The sequence below is a fragment of the Homo sapiens genome, chromosome 1 (genome assembly GCF_000001405.40).
Source record: "Homo sapiens chromosome 1, GRCh38.p14 Primary Assembly".
In the NCBI taxonomy this organism is placed as follows: domain Eukaryota; kingdom Metazoa; phylum Chordata; class Mammalia; order Primates; family Hominidae; genus Homo; species Homo sapiens.
In genome coordinates this window covers 3,229,441-3,251,912 of record NC_000001.11, presented here as the reverse complement: position 1 = coordinate 3,251,912, position 22,472 = coordinate 3,229,441, and the positions used below count along the sequence as shown (strand labels likewise).

At 57.1% G+C, this 22,472-nt stretch overlaps 1 protein-coding gene across 2 annotated transcripts in view, besides 2 other annotated features; it reads right to left on the bottom strand.

Annotated features, from left to right (window-relative positions):
• PRDM16 (PR/SET domain 16) overlaps positions 1-22,472 on the bottom strand; it is a 369,419-nt gene that overhangs the window by 186,709 nt on the left and 160,238 nt on the right. For both annotated transcript variants that reach the window (NM_022114.4, NM_199454.3), the window contains exon 3: positions 7,776-7,826. In NM_022114.4, the coding sequence (NP_071397.3) occupies positions 7,776-7,826 (51 nt within the window). The remainder of the gene's footprint in view (positions 1-7,775; positions 7,827-22,472) is intronic.
• Positions 10,674-10,968: an enhancer, noted in NCBI's record as "tiled region #1148; K562 Activating non-DNase unmatched - State 4:PromP". NCBI's record gives its function as "activates a minimal TATA promoter and a strong SV40 promoter by Sharpr-MPRA in K562 cells {active_cell/tissue: K562}" and the evidence as "EXISTENCE:reporter gene assay evidence [ECO:0000049][PMID:27701403]".
• Positions 17,697-17,866: an enhancer, noted in NCBI's record as "experimental_6702 CRE fragment used in MPRA reporter constructs". NCBI's record gives its function as "activates a minimal promoter by MPRAs in K562 erythroleukemia cells, with activity observed for both the introgressed and non-introgressed 1:3150696 variant alleles {active_cell/tissue: K562}" and the evidence as "EXISTENCE:reporter gene assay evidence [ECO:0000049][PMID:34662402]".

Below are 22,472 nucleotides of genomic sequence, written 5' to 3'. Positions count from 1 at the left end.
TGAGGTGTGTGTTCGTGTTTAAAGCAGAAGAGGCTAACCAGGGCTCAGAGCTGATCTATTTTTCTCTCCTAATAGAGCAGCACAATTTAATTAACTCAATATTGCACCCACCTGAAGATTATGGACAGGGTTTATTGACGCCACCATCTGGCTCCTATAAAGCTGGTAATGTAGCCAATAAATCCTGCTGCAGAACTAGGCGCCTGCGAGAGGTGTCCTGTCTGCACGGCCTCCCCTTGCACCCTGCTGTGGGAGTTGCTTGGGTGGCCACAACGGAGGGGCTGCCCTGGGCACCCTGTGGCGTCGGTTCGGTTGTGGAGAAGGGGTGCTGGTTCCAGGGCAGCACCTGTGCACCCTGACCCCTGCAGGTGCCATGATACCACTTCAGAGGCAGGTGTCTGCCCAGGGGCCCCCTACCCTGGTCGCTGGGTTCCCACCACCCTGACTGGTCCCTCGTTCCCACACCTAGTAAAGAGCAGCCAAGCCCTGGACGTGGGTTCTCACGCCGGGTGCCCAGAGCTGTGCCTGACTGCTCCGCTCTCACCCCACCTCACCCTCGGTACCCAGAGCTGTGCCTCACGGCTGCGCCCTCACCCCACCTCACCCCTGAACCACGCAGCACGTGAGACTCATTATCTCCCATTGCAAAAGAGGAAACCAAACGGCCAGGCCTGGAGCTCAAGGCTGAGGGCCGCGCTGCCCCGGGCAGAACCAGGTCCAAAGGGCAGGGGTGGGTGGGGAAGGGGCCCTGGCTTGGTCCGGCTCCTCTGGGTCTCCAAGGTAAGAAGACCCCTCTGTTTAACTTGGGGTTAAGGCAGCGTCTGAGTGTGTCCTTCTAAAATTTGTGATGTTTCGTCTCCTACTGGAATTTAAGTTTCAGCCTAAAGCCTCAGCACAATAGAAGTCATTTCTGATGACAGCAGGGTCCCCAGAGCCACCTGTTCTCATGCTGAGCCAGGGACCCCGAGATGGGGGACACAGCCCCCTGCCCTGCCTCCCAGTTTCCATCCACTCCAGCCCCACTTCTGCAGGGCCTTTCCCCCAGGCTGTACCCTCGCAGGCTTCCCAGGACGCTTCAGGGTCAGAGAGAAGCCCAGGCTCTTCTTTCACTGACACAGAAAAAGGACAAGTTAAACTCTCACGTCCCCCCATGTGCTCTTGGACTTGGGCTGGATGTGTGTGAACAATGCCTTTCCCAGGCTGCCCTGAGCCCCCTGCACCCTCAGGCCCTGGGGCCTTGCAGAGCAGAAAGGAAGCCACCTCAGACACGCAGGGTGGTAGAGACCATGGCACCAGCATAGCAGGTAATAAACCACTGCATAGGACGGTAATTAGCTGCACCTCTCCCAGCCGAATCTGACGGTTTCAGCTGATTTAAGGGATCCTTCAGGTGAGGTGGGGGTGGGGTAAGTAGAATCAACTCAATTTAGAATGGCGGTGGGGGGGCGGCGGCAAAAGGGTTACATTGATAAAGTTGTCACCCAGCCTGGAGCTGCCCCATAACTCACCTTGGGCCATGCTAACGGGCCATTAATCACCCTTATCAGCCTGTGAAGGGGCCCCTGCGGGACCGCCCTACCCCAGGGGGCAAGTTCAGGTGTGGCGAGGTGGCGAGAGGTCAGAGTCCACCCAGGGCCGGCTGCCACCTTGGAGGCCACGGGAGCTGTGGCTGCGGCCCCTCCCTCAGGCCTGATTTCTGCCCTGCGGACTGGAGCCTCAGGAGCAATGCGGCCTCCCCAGACAAGCCGCAACAGTTGTGAAAACGGGATCCTGGGAGTGGGGTGGGGGGAGGGGGGAGAGAAGACGGAGGAAGCGGAAGCCAGGCACCTGGGCTGGTCCCCAGGGGCGGATGAGGGTCCCCAGGGCCACGGCCCAGCGCTGCCTTGGGAAGGGGATGGTGTGGGCGGTGCTTTCCGACTTTCTGCTGCCTGGGCCGCCTTACACCTCTCTGCCTGCAGCCTTTGATTCAGCAAAATCAAGGATGCAAACTTCTTAGGAATACTTAGTTTCCATGGCAACCGTAGCTGACCTCAACATTATTGTTCTCAAGAGGGGACTGACTTTACTATATGTTCATTCACTGAATTAATGGACTCCCGATTCTTTTATCAGCAACCCTGGGACAATGGAAAGAGAGACATGTTGTCAAAGGGCTTTCAGCCACTGTCCAGCCTTTTGTCCGCGGCTTACTGCGACGAAGCAAGTCTATTCAGGCTGAGATTATCAAAATCAACTCGGGGCTGTCTCCGGGGCAGCTAAACACACTTGGATTTCATAAAGACATAACTGATCCCACATGCAAATTAATAATTTGGATAGCAGGGTTCTTAGGGTTAGGGATTTTGGTGTGTATTTTTTTTTTTCTTTTTTGGTAATAAAGTGCATGGGTAGGTAAACTGCAGTTTAGTGACGGCACTCCGGCGGGATCTGTGTTGCTGGCTGGCTGGTAAGGGAACGGGAAAAGGCGGTCTGAACCTCACTCACCTCGCTGGCACAGGCCTCAGCAAAACCAAGCTTAGGGAGGCCGCAGAAAGCCTTCTAGATCCAGTACATCCCAGAGAGCCTTCTAGTTCCCATACCCACCAGCTGAGCCCGATGCATGCATAGCAGCGCCTCCTTCTGCAGCTCTGTGTTTGAGGGTCCCTCCATCTCTCCAACCACATCCCCTCCCCTCCCTACCCCTGCCCCCTACTCCCTTCCTCCCCAGCCCTCCAGCCTCCTTTAGGAGGAAAACAATACAAACAGAACACAGTGAGCCACAGGACTGGACACCGAACAGCAGTCTCCGGCTGCGTGGTGCTGTGCTGGGCTAAAAGCCTGGCATGGCCAGGAACTCGGTATATCCTGCTCACAAACTGCCTGGAGTCCCAGCGAGGTCCCAGCTGCGTTTAGACCTCAGGGTGTGTGGCCTCCTCCAGTAACTGCTGCACAAAAGACACTTAGCAGTTGCCTGTCTGTCTCGCTCCCAACTTCCTGGGCTCAGCAGCCATCCTTCATTAGCCCCCAGTCCCCACGGGAGGGACCCAGGAAACCTCTGGACTCCTCGTTACCAGAGGCATTTTGCCCGGGCCGGGCTATAGAAAACGCCCACAGAACAGCCCAGTGGGACAGGCCATGGTTCTAACATCCAAATAATCATTTCACAAATTATCGTCATTATCAATCAATCACCCTGTTTGGACAATGCAAGGCTGGGCTATCAGACGACTTTTATGACCTGTAGCATTTTGTACGTAATAATAATAACCGGGAGAGATTTATGGACCCATCACCGGCCCCTCTTCCGGCGGAATGACTTTATTAGCTCGATTTATTTTTGACCCTCCTCTAAGCCTCTGCACTCCCGCCCCTCGCCCTAGGGGCTGGCTGGGGTGGATGCGTTTTTTCCGAAGCTTCTGAAGGGTTTTTTTTCCAGGTCCCCAGGCCTAGCCCTCCCATGCGAATTCACGATGTATTTATTTTTGGGAGGAGGGGGATAGAGAAGCGGAGGGGAAGAGAAAATAAAAATAAGAGAAAAGGTCACTTCCTTTTGTTTGTGTTTTCCCGTTCTGTATTAACACGTCCTTCCTTTTCAAGAGGGGGAAGGAAAACACGATAAAGTGGACAAAGGGAAAGGCTGCCGGGCCATGTTTCCCCTTTCATATCGCCAGAGATTGAATCAAAATTCTTTCAGCTGATAGCATCTCCCGGGTGGACTACACTCTTGTTAACGGATAAATTCAAGCCCTCCAGAAAGTCAAAGAATAAATTTAAGCCTTTTGCCAAATGTCTATCCTATTGGATTTTGATAAGATGGCCATTGAGCCTTAATAATGTCTTCCATCCATTTTCAGCGAGCCCTTAACACGGCTCTTGATTCGTCCCCAAAGCCTCTTCGCCCGGCCTTTTTATTACCGGCTCCGGCGGGCTCTCCAGGGAGCTGCGCGCCCGGAGTGATGGATGGACAACTCGCTAGATTATCTCCCGCAGATGTTTGCTCTCCAGGAGCCCCCGGGCTTTCCCTCTAAGTAAACAGAGACTAAATAGAGAGTCCGCTGGAGGGAGCGGTCCCAGAGGTCCCCGCACCGCGGCCAGGAAAGGCGCGACGCAGCCCGACCCACAGCCAATGTGACTTTTTGGGAAGCGCCGGTGACGCGCGCCCAGGGCGCACCAGGACGGGCGCAGGGACGGCGAGGGCACGCATAGGGCACCAGGGCGAGCGCACCAGAGCGAGCGCGGGCCAGCGCCAAAGCTCTGGGCTGCGCGGGCGCAAGGGCTGCGGAGTGAACGAAGGCGCAGAGACCAGGGTGTGAGACAGAGGGAACGCGGGAGTCCAGGGCGAAGCTGAAGGGGCGCAGGAAGGACGGAGGAGGACCGTCCCCTGCGCCTGGCGGTGGCTCCGCCCTCCTGGGGTGGGGGCGGGGCTAACGGGAGGCACCTCTGTAGCGCCCACAGGAGCCAGGCCCCGCGCCACAGTCCTGAGTTCGAATCCCAGGCCTCCATACAACCCTCGGCCCGGCCGCCCTCGCCTGTAAATTCTGAGTAGAGTCATCCTGCATCCAGCCTCTTCAGAAACCTCACTCTCTGATACTTAGAATTCCTAACCGTGGCTTCCTCACAAAATACCACCTTTTCTGCAGCTCATATGCCAAGCTGCTGATTGAATTAATTAACTTCGTCACATTTCACTGAGGCAGATAAAGAACAGGAAGTGTAATCCTCCCAGAGGTGGATGAACTGAAGCCAGACACAGGAGTTGCCCACCCACAGGTCACACAGCCACCCCCGTCATGTTCCCCTATGAGGTTTTTAATGTTCCCAAGTGTGCCTTTGGGTGACCCAAACTACAAAACCCCTAAACCAGAGTTCTCATCCTATAAGGAAGGACTGTACTGAATTCATCCTGAAAACAGCACCGCGGTGCGCACAGTTACGGCAGCAATCCACACATCGCACCTATACCAACAGCTCTAAGTGGCGCATTTGTTTGCAGGGTGGGGTCTCCGTCTGGACTGACGCCCACTCGAGGGCTGTCTGTCCTGGTCTTCCTGGCCCCCGAGTCTGAAGACTTTGCCTTTGAATTTTAGCTCATGTCTCTCAGTCTCTCAGCCCCAACCCCCCCGGCTCCCCGAGAGTGCCTAGAAATGTAACTGAACGGGTCCAGTCTGAGCCCTGGGGTTAGGGATCTGATTCTCCCACCAGCATGGCCTTGGCAAACACTCGAATCCTCCAGACGCTGACGGTGTTTATTGCGGAGGCTGAAAAAACTATGAGTTGATGGCCCAGGCAGTGCTGTGTGGCAGCCTCCCCCTCTGGTGGAGCTGTGCCTGAGGACTTGGGTGCCTCCTCCAGGCAGCCCCCAGCCCCTCGGACTGGGCCTGCAGGGCAGCGGCAGGGAGGAGCCCTGGGCTGGGGTCAGGAGGCCTGCTTGGACAGGACCGCCCACCAACGCCCCCGATGCTGGCTCTGGTACCCTGCGCTGAGCTCCCTGCAGTCGCGGCGGTGCCGTGGGGGGTCTCGTGCATCGGGTCTGCTCTGATTCCGTGGGATGGCGGAACCTGAGACTCCTCAGCCCGACCCAAGGTTCTCAACCTGCTTTCCAAGGGCCTGCGTCAGAGGGATGCCTGCTGCCCTGGGCACTTGGAAGTAGGCCCCTGGCTGGACAGCATCTCATGCCCACCCCGGGAGCCGCTCTCAAGAATGACCTTGGGCCACACTGAGCGAGACCTAATGGCCACACATATAAGACACAAAGGCAAACCCACCGTGGCCCAGAGGCACAGAAGGCGGCGCCCACTTCACCCTCCTTCTGTCCTAGTTCGTTCTGGTTCAGAAGCAGCCAGCACTTGCCTCCCCCGGGCCCTTTAAATCTAGACTTGACCTTTTGACCTTCTGACTTGACCCCTGTTCCTAGACCAAGCAACCCCTCCCAGCATAAACTGATCCCCTTCTAACCTCCTGCCAGGCCACCTCCATGAGGCATTCAGGAGAGGCGCAGCCAAGGAGGGCGTCTTGAAAATGTCAGACGGTCCAGGGACGCATCGGGGTGGAAAACCCAGTGATTTCAGGCTCCCTCGAGAACTTGAGGGATTCGCACTAACTGCAGGTCACTTTTTGTGGGAAGTGAAAATACTGCAGTTCTCGGAAATACAGCAGCGCTGCTAACTGTTTCCTGCTCCTCTATGTCCTTTAAGAAAATGTGAACTCATTTAAAGAGGCAGGAAAGGAGAAAGAGGGAAAGTGGAAAAGACCAGCCCTGGAATTTGCTCCATTTGCTCCAGTCAAACGTGGGTGCAGGAAGACCTCAGGCATCCTGTGGACGGCGGGGACTGAGAGCCGACACCTTGTCCTTGGACAAAAGGACCCCAGGAGGCCAGACACAGCCACACCAGCGACGGGGAGGGACACGGGAACCAGTTCACCCAGTTTCCGGAGGCCCTTCAGCGGGTCACTGCGGGCCCAGCAAAAGTCTCCATTGCCATGCTTTCTCCAAAATCAATGTATCTGGGGTTGAACCTGGAGAGAAGGGTCAGGTCCCCCTGTGCTTTGCGGATAGCTCTGCCCAGATGGTGGGTCCCCTGTCCCTCGTAGGCAGCTCTGCCCAAATGCCTCGGCTCAGAGACTGGGAGTTTGGCAGGACTAGCACAGCACTTTCCTTTGACTTTGGGGGAAAAATGGAGTATTGATGACTTGAACACTCAGCTCAGCTTCCTAACCACAAGGCTGCCAGTACCCCTCAAGCCCATATGCTGCGTCACGGAATCCAGTTGTAATTCTGACAGAATTGTAACAGCACTCGGTAGGCACTGACTCAGCACTGGCTCCTCTGTGCCAGCAACCCCCATGGTGCACCCCGCCCCACCCCGCCCCCTGCGATGCTGTCTGGGTGGGGATGTGTAAATGTGACTCTCTCTAAATTTTATCTTGCTTTAAAGCAAAGATGCCAAGCGAGAGACTGTTACTTTAATTTTACTAGAAACCCCCCCCCAAAAAATAGGAGATCAGCCACCACGTGTGAGCGTGCTGTGTCTGTGGACGTCTGTGTGTGCGTGCAGGCAATGCATATCCCGTCGAAGAGGAGTTCTGGCTGCTGAACAGGTTCTAGGTTTCGGAGCTGCTTTCCAGGCCATTCCTCCTCCTGGCCGTCTGGACTGCAGTGTGCACACCCAGGCACACATGTGACTATGTGTGTGCCTCCCCAGGGCCTGTGTGTTTCTCTGCACATGGTTCTCCCTCTGGATCTGTTAGACCTAATGTTTGTCCACCAGCCGTTATCCACCACCAGTCAGCAAAGCCGTGGATAATGCCACGTGGACCCTTTTTCTCTCGCCTCGTGGTTTTGCTTATTTAAAACGATGCTTCTTTGGAAGCTACGAGTGCAGCAAAGGCTTTGTTGAATCTGCAGCCAATTCTTCCCCATATTCTTTTCATGAGAGTATCCAGCAAAGACAGTTAAATAAACACAACCTGCGTTTATTTAATTTTCCTGTCTGCGTGGCCTGAAGCTTTCCCACAGGTACAGGGCTCTCCTCCACTCTCGGGAGTTAGGAGAGTGGCGGATGGCCCTGTACCTGTGACCCTACGGCGACATGACCCCCACCTCCCCATCCCTCCTAATGACAGCAAAGCCACCGTCCTGTGCACACGTCAGTCCACAGATAACACATTGCTCGGGGCCTGCCAGCAACATTCCGACTACACGCTTGTTAGCTCAGGGACAGCTGGGATGGCGGTCGCCCCGCCAGGAGCTCCGAGGACGCTGGGGAGCTGAGACGGCGCAGGGCGAGCTCTCCTACCTTTGTGATGCAGCCTTCCTGGGGCGACACTTCCACGTCCGTCAGTATTTGCTGCAAAACAATTTTGAGAGGGGTTGTTAGTTTCTGATAAAACATTCTCAAGCTACACTGGGTTCTAAATGGTGGGGGCAGAACCACTGTCCCCAAAAGTCACAGGGTGGGACCCAGTGGCTTCTCCACAGCAGGAAATGAAGGGTTCCATTGATCACAGGTATCCCTTCTTCCAGCAGAGGCTCCCCCAGTCACCGAGGACTCCAAGCGCCCCCCAGGGACTTCACCTCCCTGGAAACACTGCACTCCAGGGATGGAGACACACTGTGTAGCTCACTCTGGCCCTTTAGTGGTTGGGTGGGGACCCAGGTCAAGGCGTCTCAAGGTGAGCCATTCATATTATTTATGAGAACCATCTGGGAGGAGCGCATGGACACCCTGGATGGTGAACAGACTCTATTTGTGTTTCCTCCAAGTTCCGCCGGCGAATCACACCACGTGTATTTAGACGTAACTTGGCCTAGGTTGTGCCTGGTCCTGGACAGGTGAGAGACAGCGAGGTGCAGTCCCTGCCCTCCGGGGGCTTACAGTCCAGCTCAGGAGGCAGAGGTCGGGGGGAGCTGGACTCTGCCCAGCGGTCCCAGGAGACAGCGGCGGGCGGCCAGAGGCAGGGGCAGAGGTCGGCCAACGCCCTGCGGAAGGGTGGCTTGGTGGGTGCTGGAGGGAGAGGGAGCTCATGCCATTTCTCTGCTTCCTCTTTTTTTTTTTGGCAAATCAGAGGTGGGAGTGTTTTAACTGGCTCTTCACTCCCATCCAGATCCCTGGGAGGGGGATGTCCCCCATGGCTTTTGGAGGAAACTTCTCAAAGGAAATGGAGCTAAGGCAGAAAAGCCGCTGTGCCTAGTGCCATGCAGGTGCCCGGGGTGGCCACTGAGGACCCCCAGCAGCGGGCTGTGGGCCACACAGGAGCTCCCACCCCCTCACCCACGTGTGGACAGAGGCCGAGACAGGGAGGCTGGAGTGGGCCAGCAGTCGGCTCGTTCTTCCTCCCAGGTCGCTCCAGCCGGAACGTTCTTTGGCTCTGGAGAGCATTTCGCCGGGTGTCTCCTCTTAAAAGCCACCAGGCTGCACTCCAGAGTGGCGGCGTCTCAGTGACCCATCCCAGAGTGCTGTCTGTGCTAAGCAAACTGACAAATGAGCTCTAGAAATTGGATTTTTCCCTTCTGGACCCAAAGTGGCCATGCACGGTCGAGTATACGGAAACCGCAACGTTGTTTCCATAAGAATAGAAACCAAGATTGAAACTGATACTTGAAAAATAAAACGAGAAAATGATGCTCAAGCCAAAGATTTTCTTTCCCCTCCCCTTAATATTACATGATGGCTTTACAAATCCTAAGGACGGAGCACAGCAGCACAGCGTGCCTACCAAGGTGCAATTGACGAGCTGGCGTTCCCAGTCACAGTGGGGCCCAGCCCCATCGCCTTCCGGGTCACCCTGCGCTAATGTGAATGGCAGTGATGGCTGCTAGATTCAGGCACCTAGATGGGCTGCGTTTGGAAGAGGAGAAAGCCTTAGTAGGGTGTGACCTGCCTGCGGGGCCGAGGCGTGCTGGAGGCAGAGCTCGAGGAGCTGCTCAGGTGGAATCTCTCCTCACTCTGGATGCTGGAGGACCGTTTGGCCATCCCAGGTCTGGTGAAAGGGATGCCCCGTCCCAGTGGTGGTGCTGGAGCTCTCGAGAGTAGAAGGACAGATCCCGCCGTAGTGAGCCGCCCCGGGCAGAGAAACTGTGGATCTTGTTGCCAGTTAAAGGCTGGGCTGAAACCAGAACCAGGGCCTCCCCAGTCCTGCCTGCTTCGTGAGGCACGTCGAGGAGTGAGATGCTGTTTGTATCTCTCTGGCATTTGCGGCGGAGTCACAGGCACCTGTGCAGACACCACCAGCGAGAGGGCCCTGCCCTCCCCGCCCTGTCCTGCCAGTACCTGCTCACAAACCCACGTACCCACCCAGAGCCCACAGGGGCCTGGCGCTGGCCTGGGAGCATTTGGTGGCCTCTGGGCATTTTCCGGGAGGCTCCCTCCTGTTCCCAGTGGGAAAGTGCATGCCACGGCCCATTCAAGCCATTCCCAATGCAGGTGACACCCCCACGATCACTCCCAGGCAGGGTCAGCCCAGGAGCCCCCGTTAACACCACAACCTCACATTCGGAGGGGGCTAGCGTGACAGCCCTCCAGCCACCCACCGATGCCACCCTGGGCCTGCTGTGGCCTCAGATGCATAGCCTCTCAGGTGGGGGCCGCCCTCCCTCTGTCCACGCTGCTCTCTGCTGGGCGCCCACCGTTCCTGCTGTGGCCAGCTGCATTTTCACTTGCACTTTTGGTCGCCTGATCTTCCTGTCTCCCTGCCCTCCGAGCGTCCGGGTGGGATGGAATGCCCCCATAAACCCATCCGTCACGCCATGCGGAGGCCCTTCTTGCCTTTCTGGCGGAGTCTGACGTGGGCTTGGTCCGTGCGTGGGCTTGGCCAGCACTCCTGCTCCCCGGAGCTTGTCATCAGGTGGGGACGCAGAGACGGATGCTCCAACACCGGCCCCAATAGTTGAAGGCGTTACATGCGACGCACTGACCAGGAGGGCCCAGTCATACCGTGTGGCGTCAGGAGGTGGGACCTGGCCAGCCCCGGGGTGGTGGTGGGGGCAGCTGCCACAGCTGCTGGGCTCCCGGCTGTCTCTCTGGATCCTCTGGGCACGGGGCCTGGGCCCCCTTCGGGCTGAGGGTGTGGGCTGCTGAGGACTGTGGTCACCCCGGAGCCCAGCGTGGAACCACGGAAGAGCCGCACAGAGGCAGAGCCCCCCCAGCTGCCCTGCATCCCCGGAAGAGGAAACCGGCGCCCGATGGCAACAGAGAAAGAAGCGGCCTCCTGCAGGCAGGGCGCTGGGGCCTGAGCCGCGTTGCGGAACCGCCTGCCCCATCTCACCGCCCGCCTGGGCAGTTGGGAACACCACGGACTCCGCCCCTTCACCCGCTGCTGACCTCGGCTGGAAAAATGGCGGGACGCGCTCCCCGGCTCCCCCAGCCTCGCCTGAGCCGCCGCTCCGCTGAAAACCCTCTTTATTTTGCTAGCTGGGCCCTCAGCACACGCGCCGCTGGCTCCTCGATTGCTGGCAGCGGCCGCCGCGCTCTCAACCTCCCCGCACCCCGGCAGAAGTATTAGGTGTGTTTGATTAAGCGTTTTAGCCAAAAAAAGCGAGGTCTGACCTCTGGCGTTTAGCTGCTCTCACGGGTCCCAGCGCCAGGATTTAGCTAAGTGGGGTTGGTCAGAACCTCTTTTTTGACTCTTAAAATAAATACCCTCTGTTCTCCAAAAAGTCAGCAAAGAGGCCACGTACGCAGAGGCGCTTAGGGCTCTGGAGTTCTGGCGCCGCCCCAGGGGGGCTCAGCTTGCTGTTTGGTGCCACAAATGGATCCCAGAAGGTTTCTCTCCCGTCAAAATTATCTGTTATTAAAGTATCTGAGAACCTAACTAAGGAGGAAACCCAGAGTGAGCCCCGGCCACGGAGCTGCTTCCATACCAGCGGGAGGTGGACGGAGCCCGGTGCGGAGGAGGCTGAGGCCCATGAGGGACCCCAACACTCCGCTTTACCCACCCCTTGCTCTTGGCATTGAGAGCAAACCTTCTCTCTCTAACCTACTTCTCTTTTCTTTCTTCTTCTTCTTTTTCTGTTTTTTTTTTTTTTTTGAAACAGGTTGTCTCACCCAGGCTGGAGTGCAGTGGTGCAATCATGGCTCACTGCAGCCTCAGCCTCCTGAGCTCAAGCGATCCTCTCAACTCAGCCTCCTGAGTAGCTGGGACAACAAGCACACCACCATCCCGGCTAATTTGTTTTATTTTTTGTAGAGATGGGGTCTCACTATGTTGCCCAGGCTGGGACTCCTGGACTCCAGCAATCCTCCCAAAGTTCTGTGATTATAGATGTGAGCCATCATGCCCAGCTCGGCTCTAACTTTTCTTTCTTTTCTTTCTTCTCTTCTCTTCTCCTCCTCTCCTCTCCTCTCCTCTCCTCTCCTCTCCTCTCCTCTCCTCTCCTCTTCTCCTCTCCTCTCCTCTTCTCCTCTCCTCTTCTCTCTCTCTCCATCTTTCCTTCCTCTCTCTCTTTTCTTTTCTTTCTTTCTTTCTTCTTTACTTTTCTTCTCTCTCTCTCTCCCCGCCCACCCCCAGCCTCCAGGCTAGAGTGCAGTGGCTCTATCAGCTCACTGCAACCTCGACCTCCTGGGCTCAGGTGATCCTCCCACCTCTGCCTCCCAAATAGCTAGGATTAGAGGCATGCTCCACCATGTCTGGCTAATTTTTTGTATTTTTTGTAGAGACAGGGTCTCACTATGTTGTTCAGGCTGATTTCTAACTCCTGGGCTCAAGCAATTCTCCTGCCTTGGCCTCCCAAAGTGCTAGGATGACAGGCGTGAGCCACTGTGGCTGGTTCTAACCTACTTTTCTTTCTTGCCCATTTCTGAAGTAGCTTCGTTGGACCCAAAGATGTGGGTCTGAGTCTAGAACCTGCTAAAAGCTGATTCCAAGGCCTCTTCTCCTTGAAGAAGCCCCTATGGGTGGAGTCGGGGGGTCAGGGTTGTCTATGCAGGGCACCCAGGGGCATACAAATGGCAAGGCTGATGGAGCTGTCTACAACCTCCACATCCCATCCAGGCTCCAAGCCTCACTCTGCTCACTGCTGGGAGACTGTGGGGTCGAGGGGCTCAGGGTTCTGCTGGACACAGTCTGAGCAAAGGTCTTGGTGGTCAGCAGCTTCAGCTTCCATGCGGCCTACATGTTCAGCAGGGTTTTACACCCAACTAAACAGTGCCCCTGGCAGGGCTGGAAGCTGATGACCAGGCCACACTGAGCCTCCACATCTCAGGGTCATCTCACTCTCGGAGAGGAATGTCCACGGCCACCCACACATCCTCCCTTTCTGAGAAGATGGAGTTTTTAAAGAACAAATCTCATTCTTAATTTTCTTTTCCAAATGGAAGCCGTGGGTGCTGCCAATTTCCCTGGTGTAAATGTTGCATCAAGGTGATGGCAATGGTGAAGCCAGTCATAACAGCAGCGGGTCATTTTTTGGGGCCCTGCCACATGTGGGGGGCCTGTCCCAGGCACCGCAGACGCGGACCTCCTCCTCACAACCACATGTGGGAAGCAGGAACCAGCAACGCCCCTGCTGTGTAGACGGGAAACAGGGGCTGCAGAGTTGAGGTGACCGGGCAGATGTCGAGGAGCTGCTCAGGGCAGCGCCCGCACTCGAGTCTGGGCCTCCTGACTCCAGGAGTGTGCTCCGGCAGGACAGAGGCCTCCGGGTGGATGCCTCGGCAGGAAGAAGACACACGCCAGGCCCTTCCACCCGGGACTTGCACCTGAACCCCGGCCAGGACTCTCTCCACGGCCAAGCTCCCTCCGGCCGTGTGGGCTCCAGCAAAGCTGGGCGGCTTCCCGTTGGCAGCTCCCGCAAGAACCGTGAAAGGCGGTTAGTCGCCGGCCGCCCCGCCTCTGGCTCGCAGAGCAAAGACTGCACTGGTGTTGACACAAACCCTTGCGCTCTCAACCGGGAGTAGGATAATATTTATTTATTTTTTGCATTAAAAAAATCAGCTTGGCCGTGTTTGAGCTACAGAAATGATTTTTTTTAAAGCTCCTTGGACACTGCTTTTAGCTTTTATGCCTAAACAGTTACTTCTCAGTTCCTTCAAGTGAGATCCATCCAATGAATGGAGGCTCTCTCTTTACTCCTAAGAAAAATATTTACACAGTCAAGTACGGCACAGAAAAGGACCCTGGGCTCTGGAGAGCCCGTCCTGAAATGCACAGAGGTCTCTACGCCGCTGTTTACACTCCCAGCCACCACCTCCCTCACTCCTGCCCTCCGCATCCCCTGCCCCCACCACCAAAGGCCTTCCCAAGCCTCCCGCGTTGGGCCCTGTCATCAGGGGTTGGCCTGGGGTTCCGCATGAGAACCCCGCAGGGCTGTGCGACAGGAGGGAATGGCCCCTAAGCCCTACCTTCCAAACCCTCTTTGGCCAATGAGAGAAGCCAGGCCGCTCTGCTTCCAGGGCCCCGAGCAGGGAACAGCACTGGGATGCAGCATCTTCGCCCCCAACCCCATGGGACCCGAGCTCCAGGCAGGCAGCATCTCCGCTGACCTGGTGAGATGGGGCCTTGTGCTTTGCTCCGGCCACAAGCAGTCTGCTAGAGCCAGCAGACTTCAGTGCACGCCCAGTGATTTTCTCTCGACCTGCAGGGCTGCCACCGCCTGGCCCTGCCCCGCCCAGCCAGCAAGGCCTTGAAGACCCAAAATCTGGGCATGGCCTGCTTCTCTTTCTGATGTTCCAAGAACACTCTGTTCGCTGGCAGCCCCGCCTGTGAGTGCTGCCCCTTGGCCTGGACACACCGCCCGGGCGAGGCTGGCCCCGCGCGCATCTCCCTTCCTGTGAGATGATTGAATGGGCACTGCTCTTCCTCTCCCTGGCCCCCGGGAGCAGGCTCCACACCCCTTCATGTCCTCATTTCATAAGTGGTATTGAGCACCTTTGGTCTACACTGCCCCACGGAGAGTGCCTTGGAGACATTTAAAAAATACGGAAACAGTATTTAGTCCAGAATTCACTACTCTGGGGCAGACACAATGGGTAGGACCCACCCTGCCTTCCACAGCAACATCAACACGAGGAAGAGGAAAGATCTCCAAGTCTGGGAGCTGAGGTCCTCTTGGGGGTGGGGTCCCGAAGTGGGGGTGGGGAGCCCAGGAGGTGATGGGGCTGGGAGTGAGGCAGCATATGCACAAAGGTGTTAGCAGGGGGCAAATGAGCACCCCAGAGACGGAGGAGCCCTGGGGTTGGGAAGCCTGGGGGGAGCTCTGCCATGGCCCTTTGAGGACCAGGCTGAGGGATTTCACTCAGGCAGGGGCTCTCGGATGGAGGCAAGAAACAGACGATGGGGGCATGGGGTGTGGAGGAGGGACAGTTTGCAGGAAGGGTGGCTTCCTGTGTGCACGGGCCCCCAAGGGGTCTCCCTCCTCATGTCTGCTCGGAGGAGCATGTGGGGGTCTTTCCTGCTGACCCAAGTGTGGGGCCCCGCAGTGGGCTCCATCCGGCCTGTGCCCCCCAGCTTCCTCCCTTTGCTAGGACCTGTCTAGCTCTCCTCACACAGAGAAGGAGGCTGCCCAGGACAAGAGGCCTCCATGGTGAGGTGGAGGGCCAAGGGCCAGGCAGGCCGGGCTCCGCACTGGGTACTTGGCCCCCAATAATGCATGTAAACCCCAGAACACACCCACGAGCAAGGCTATGGCTTCCTGCTCTGTGCAGAAGAGGAAGGGGCTCAGAGAGGTAAAGTAGCCTCCCGAATTTGACAGCAGGGGAGTGCTAACCCGGGCTCACCCTGGATTCACATGGGCCCTGCCAAGATCAAGGTGAGTGGACCCTGAGTAGGTGGTGCACACCGAGGGCAGGGCTGGGCAGCCCCTTTTCCCAGGGAAGCCTGAAGATACACAGGTGTAGACCAGCCCTGGCCCCCAGCCCGGGTCACCCAGGCACCCACCGGCGTGGGGCCCATGGCCACGCCCAGCTTGCTGGTGAAGTACCCAGGAGGCCCCACTCCCTTCCAGCCTGCAAGCAGCCCTGTGAGGACTCACTTTCCTCTGCCCACCTCATTGCCAATGCGGTGGTCAGACAAGCGCCCCCCCAGGCCATTAGCATATTTGTGGTCCTTGACCTGGAAGTCACAGGAGCCTCTCAGAGGACGAGGCTGCTGGAAGCCCTAGGGTGGGGGTCCTGTCTCTCTCTCCAACTGCTCCTGGCCTGGGAAGCCACCCCCCGCCAGGCCTCTCCAAGCCTCCTTCCCAGCCCCAGGGGCTGTGGGAGACAAGGAGGCACTGTGGGGTCCCCCTGGCCTGCCCTGGCTGTGACCTTGCTCTGCCCTCTGCCTCTAGCACCTCGGGGCACAAGGTAGAGTTGGGGGCAGGGCTATAACTGACCACCTGCCCTGGGGCTGCAGTTGTCTGGGGAGGGTGGCGCCTGCAGGGATGCCTGCTCTCTGGATACTGCCCCCGCCATGCTATCCCTTTCCAGAGAGGAGAGAGTGCAGGTTACCACGTTCAGACCTTCCCAAACTTCCAGAATGCTTGGGCCATTCCAGCCACAGCTTTGAATTCTCCACCAAGCCAAAGACGCAGCTCCTCCACCACACAACCCCCACTCCCCCGCCATGCTCGATGGGCTGCTCCAGATCTCAGAGCTCCGCCCCACACAGGCAGGACAGCCCTTTCCAAATGAGGGGCCTGGGGGAGATCTGACCCAGCCTGAGATTCCCTGGAGCAGGGCAGGCTTCCGGGGTCTACATGGCAGGGACCCCCCACACCCCGCCCCCGCCGTCCTGGACTCACGGGCGCTCTTTCCCCCATGTCAGGCGGAGCTGGGGAAGGCCTGTTGTTCCTGGGCTCCACCTGGGAGCCCCTGCTGATGGAGCAAGGTGAGAGCGGGTGGGGGTGACCTGGTGTGGGGACTGGCAGGAGGCTATCAGCCCCTGGGGCGCAGGCTCCAGAGCCCTTTCTCTGCCAGGCAGCGGGGCGAGCGGGAAGGATCTCTGCAGGCCCCTGTCCCCGAGCACAGGGGTGTCCAGCATTGCTTCTGGCCCTCTGTGGACACCTTCCTCCTTCTGCTTCCGGAAGATTGATGTCCCCAGGGGAAGGGAATGTAAATCATAAAAGCAGGTGACATGTGGCCCTCGCGATCAATGGCTCATGAAGAGCCATCACTTCCAGCACGAGAAAGGGAAGCAGCGGCCAGTCCAAGAGCCTCCCGTAGCCAGCTCAGGAACTGGACACGCACGCCCTGGAAATGAGGAGAAAGTTCTGCGAGGCTGTTTGTTCCTGGAGCTGGTCTCAGAGCTTCCGAGGGCCTGGGTTCTAGAAGATGAAAGAGCCAAGGCCTGGAGCGGCTGGGCGGCCTCGCAGGGCCCCAGGACCTGCAGGCAGGGCTCGGTAGGGGGCTCTGGCTGGGACGCCAGTGGAGCCGATCCCAGGGACACCCTCTGCACTCTGCAGCTTCTGTGCTGGGAAGGTGGTGTTGAAGCTGATGGTTCTAAGTGGACGGCAGGTGACCTTGACCCAACCCACTCACACTTTATTTCTCCACCAACTTTCATCAGAGCCCTGCAGCCTGGAAAAGGATGGCCAGCCTCACTTCAGAGCTGCCCAGTTATTACAGGCAGGCCCGTCCTCCCTCCTGGATTAGACGCCCCTTTAGGCCAAAGGTGGGTGTCAGGCACCATCACGGCCCCTCCGAGCAGGAACACAAGGGAGACCCCACGTGGCATTTACCGAATAATAAATCATGAGTCAGTGAGTGGAAAATGGGAGCTCTCCTTGTAGAATTTACCGAGCTGCTACATGGTCATGTTCACCTGGGCCAGGCCCCTGGGAACCAGGCCCTGGCCTGTGGGTGGAGGGTGGGGACTGGCACAGTCACGGTGGGGCCCGGCCATCCAGCCTGCGGGGGCCCTGTGCTCGGGGTGGCTCTCTGACTATGGGGCTTAGGGAAGCTGCCCTGGCCACCCTGACAGGCTCAGGGCCTCTTGCTGGACCAGGCGTCTCGGGCAGGCGGCTAGAAATCAGATACCTGGGCCTCGAGGCACAGGGTCCGGCTCCCGCCTGTCTTGCGGCTGCTTGGCCTGGAAGTGGCCTGGCCGGGGCAGCCTGGGGAGTTGAGGATGGACCTGAGCTGCTGGGGCGGGGACAGCTCCTTTGTGCAGGCTCCGTGTCAGGGCCCCGGGGACAAGAGGACCAACCTGTGGCCAGGACTGTCTGGATTTGAGCTCTGAAAGCCCCTGTCTCGGGAAGCCCCTCTGTTGGTGACCATACTGGAGAGGAAGCATCAAAGCTACCGCAGAGGAAGGCCCCCAGAACAGGGGGATGAGTCAGGGATGAACCCTGAAGACGAAATCAACACGACAGTCCCATGCCCGGGTTCCAAGAGCCCAAGCCCTGAACACACTCCCAGGACACCGGGACCGACCCAATCGCAAACCCCGAAAGTCACATCCAGCCTGGTGGGAGCGTCAAGGAGCCGAGGGCTCCAGGCTCAGCCAAGACAAATGGAAGGGGAGCAGTGGGCCCTGTGCCCATCCTCCAGCAGCCACTCCCACCCGCAAGAGGCCATCTCAACAGTCTCCCAGAGTTCATAGAATTTCCCCCCACCTTTTTTTTTTTTTAAAAAAACCCCAACACTTCATTGCGGTATGATTGGCATATAAAAAGCTGTTGGTATTTAATGTAGACAACTTTATGAGCCTGGAGACGCAAGAATGCACCAAGAAACCATCGCCACGATCCACACCATAAACCCATCCATCACCTCCAAAAGCTTGCCCTGCCCTCTTCATTCATCATTAGTTTATTTTGTGATGGGACAATCTAACGTCGGCTCTCCTGTGTTAGTAAAGTTATGTAGGCAACAGGGAGGCTGCTGAAGGAGGCTACTGCAGGCCTGCTGGGCAGAGAGGACCAGGCCAGGCTGGCCGCACTCACAGGGGCAGGGAGAAGGATGCTGGCGGAATGGTTTTCCATCTTCCAAAGGCCAGTGTCTGTGAGCAGGGGATGTTCCATGCTCAGCCTGAGCCCTTTGCGCCCCAGGACAGATTCCGCTCACTGTGAGTGGCAGCGGCAGGAGGGGACCCCAGCTCCGGCGGGTGCGCTGTGCCTTCCCCCAATCACTTAAACCAACACCAAACTCTGCCATTGCAAACCCCAAAGTGGCTGTCCCGACTCACATCTGAAAGATGTGCCCTCCCAGGTCCACTGCTGGCCATTTTCCACCCTGCTTCTGAAAATGCTGACGGTCCCTCCTCCACACCGACGACACAGGAGGTGCTAGGCACCGCGCGGCCACCGGCCACCCCCACCCTGGGCAGGGGGCAGCTGCTGGAGGCTCCCTCACTGGCACTCCTCCAGGGCAGCCCGGTGGGCTCTGCACCAGCATCTCCCCAGGGAGCTTCGCTTTCCACGGGGAAAATAAATCACAGGATCAATGATCGGTTCTATACAAACATTTATCTTTTATCTCAACCCTTTTTAGTTATAGAAATGACCTGGAAATTGACAGAATCATATGAATGCACTTCCACCTGACTCTGCTGATTGATCCCTCGTTTATTAAGGTAATTCTTAATAATCATAAGTGAATAAGAAGGGTCGTAGATCTCCTGGTAACAGCGCCTGGGTCACATGTGCGTTTGAAAGCCCCAAGACCCAGGACTGGGTGGGAGAATCTGACCTCCCCAAAGTTGGGCTCTTCTCTGGCTACGACACCACTCACTGAGGTTTGGGAAACCTTTCAAGATCCGAAAGTGGATCCATATCCGAGCAGAATATGGAATTTTAATTCCCTTAAAAATGGCAGGCAGCACCTTTCTGGGGATGGAGGAAGCAGAAGCAGCTGCCAGTGTCACTACCCCCCTTGGCCCTTCCCTGATCAAATTCAGTCTTTCTCTCATCCTCGCTTGTCATGCATCCCACTTACTCACGAAGCAAGCATTTGTGGACTCGCATTTCTGAGTTCCGCAAACTTGCAAGCCAAGGAGGCCAGAAGTACAATTGTTTCCCGTTGTATTTTATTCCTGATTGAAATAAAATAACAATGATAATAATAACAGCTAATATGCTAGCTCTGCCAAAGGTGTCACTGCATCATCCTATTTAATGCTTGAAATAATCCTACAATAATCCCCATTTACACCTGAGAATGCTGAGGCTCAGAGAGGTTAGGTTAAGTCGTCCAATGTCACAGGGCCAGCAAATGGCAGAGCTGGGATTCAAACTCAGGCCGTGCAGCTCCACCCGGCATTATCCGAGCCATTCGCTTATTTGGCCTCCCTTGAACTGGTTCCATTTGGAGAAGTGAGGGAGATGGATCGGCGGGAAGGGAGAGGGAGATGAAGAGCTTTGCTTTCTCTCACATAAGGAATGTTTCCAATCTGTTGCAGGGACAACACACAGAGGCCCGAGCTCCTGGGTGTCGGTCGCAGCTGCCTGCGAACTCGAGACCACCGTGCGTGAAGGCAGCGGGAGGCAGAGCGTCACCAAACAAGACTGCATGCTTTCCTAATGGGACCCAGTGACAGGAACAGCTGCAGCGAGGAATTCCGGGCTGATCTGCTGGGAAAAACTGGCCACCTCTGGAGTCTTGCAACGTCCATGCAACTGTGGCTGCAGCCGGGACCCCCCAGGGTCCAGCTTTACTCTCTTGGGGCGGAGTTAGTGGAGAAGCTGAACCAGGAAGGCCTGGCAGGTGAAAGGCTGCCCGCTCTGCCCGTGATTTCCAAGTAACCTCCCGGGGTCCCACGTCTGCATTTCCAGGCCATACCAAGTCCAGGGACTGCCCAGCCTTGCTGAGATGTGGGCAGACGTACGGCCAAGGCCACCTGCCCTGGAGGATGCCTTCAGGGGCTCCCTGACCAACACGGAATGTTCCTCCGACCTTCCTTCCTTCTGGTGCCTTTCACAGAGCTGGGAAGGACGGCAGAAACCAGGCAAATAATCCTGGGCCCCAAGCCAGCGCTTCCCATTGTGAGTCCCAGAAACACCTCTCGACCCCCGCATCCCCTGGGCTGAGCAGCCTCGACGCCCTCATCTGTGAAGCGGGAGGCAGATGCCCCAGGGGGACGGCCTTGACCGCTGTCCCTGACGACGGAGAAGGGGAGACGGCCTTGACCGCTGTCCATGACGACGGGGAAGATGCAAACAGCAACGCTGCCTGGCCCATCACTCACCTATTTTCGGCATGTGCACACAAATCGTGATGGCGCTCAAGACGTAACCACCCGTTTTCAAGACTGCCATGACTTGCGGACCAAAAGCCTCTTGTGGCGATTAACCTAGTAAGGGTGATGGCAGGATGGGCGGCTTTTACGTGTATGAAGGGTTGTAAAAATAAACAAAAACGTGTATGGGACGGAGGTCACACAGGACACAGAAAGCCTAAATTATACATGATCTGGACTTTTACATTGGAGGCACATTGACCCCGGCCCACGGCAGAGACACCACGGCTCCAAGGAGGACGGAGATAAGAGGGCACTCATGTCCTTGGGTAGCCAGTCCAGCTGCCAGCAGAGAGGCGGGGACGAGCCTTCCCCAGCCTCTCTCCAGGAATGGGAGGCTTCCACGAGCAGAGGTGGCTCATCTGTCCCTGCTCCCTTTGCTCACACCTGCTCCCAACACCAAACGGCCAAGGCAAAACCCCAAGCAGAGGAAATACCATAAGGTTGTCACTTCGAATGCCTCATGGTGCCCGAGGCTGCAGTGCGGTCGCACCGGGCAGGTGTGGGGAAGGAAGGTGCGCAGGCACCACACAGCCAGCGAGACAGGCAGGCAGGGCTGCTGGGAACACCCAATCCTGGGGACAGCTGTCCTGCCTCACCCCAACCGGGGCCGCGTCGGAGCTGCCTTCTCAGCTGGAGCCTCCCACGGGGAAAGGTGGTGTGAGATGGGAAGCAGTCTGAAACGGCTGTTCATTTATATTTTTCTTATTTTCCTCCTGTTTGTTTTCCAACAAGGAGAAGCACACGAACTTGCCACAAGGGAGATCCCCAAACCCTCAGAATGTCAATTTCCATCCACACAACTTCCCTGGATATTCAACCTCCTCTGGGATGGGGAAGGGTCTCTTCTCTGGGGCAGGTCTGGTGGCCGTGAGTCCGGCGCTAACTGAGCTTCTTGTCTGGATGACTGTGGAGTCTCACTCCATTGCTACCCCAAGGACTCGTCCCAGGAGGCTGGGAGTGGAGTCCTAGTGCAGAAAGGCCTCCGTGAGACCTAGCAACATCCAGGAATCTAGAACGGCCATCTAGTTGGCACCCTTGCCTGGCCTTGTGGAGAGCCGTCGGGCAGGTCAGGGATGGAGCAGCAGTTGCCAGTGGAGGCCAGTCTGTCTCTCTTGAGGCCCTCGGCTAGACAGCACACTGGGTGCCCGAAAGCATCCTCTAGTGATTTCATCTCACAGTGACCCTGTAGGGGTCCAGGGATCCCAGAGAGCTGCAGGGGGATGCGCGTTCCTCCTTGGGCCACAGCCATGCATCCGAAGTGCACAGAGTGTTCATGCAAACTAAACGCGGGCGCCAGGGCAGCTGCTTTTGGTCCCGACACCTGCACGGAGCTGCAGCTTTATTTTGCACCATCTTTCCTTGCTTTCTAACAAGTCACTGAAACAAGGGCAGAGACCCTGCTCTAAGGAAGAGAGCAAACCACTCTCCCTCCCGCCCGTGTCTGAGAATGGAGCCTGGGCCAGGGGCTCCTCTGGGGGCTGCTCCTGCCTGCTGTCCATGAGCCTCAGAAAAACAGACACACCTGCTCGCCTCCCTTCTTTTTTTTAGCCCTAAGATAAGAAGAAAGAGACCCTTAAGGTTTCCCTGGTTTGTCTCCAGCTGCAGGAGGTCAGCACGGACAGCAGGTTCAGTGACCAGGCTCATGGGCTGCAAGTGGCTGGGTGGGACTGGGATCCGATCCGATTCTGCCATCCTGCCTGTGAGGCTTGGAATGTACATCCTGTGGCTTGGAGGCCCTGACAGGGAAGATGGGAGGTGGCGCTTTGATTCTCAGCTATGCCGTGTGGCTGTCAACAAACATGACAAGGTCACCATCTGTCTGCAGGATGGACTGAGAAAAA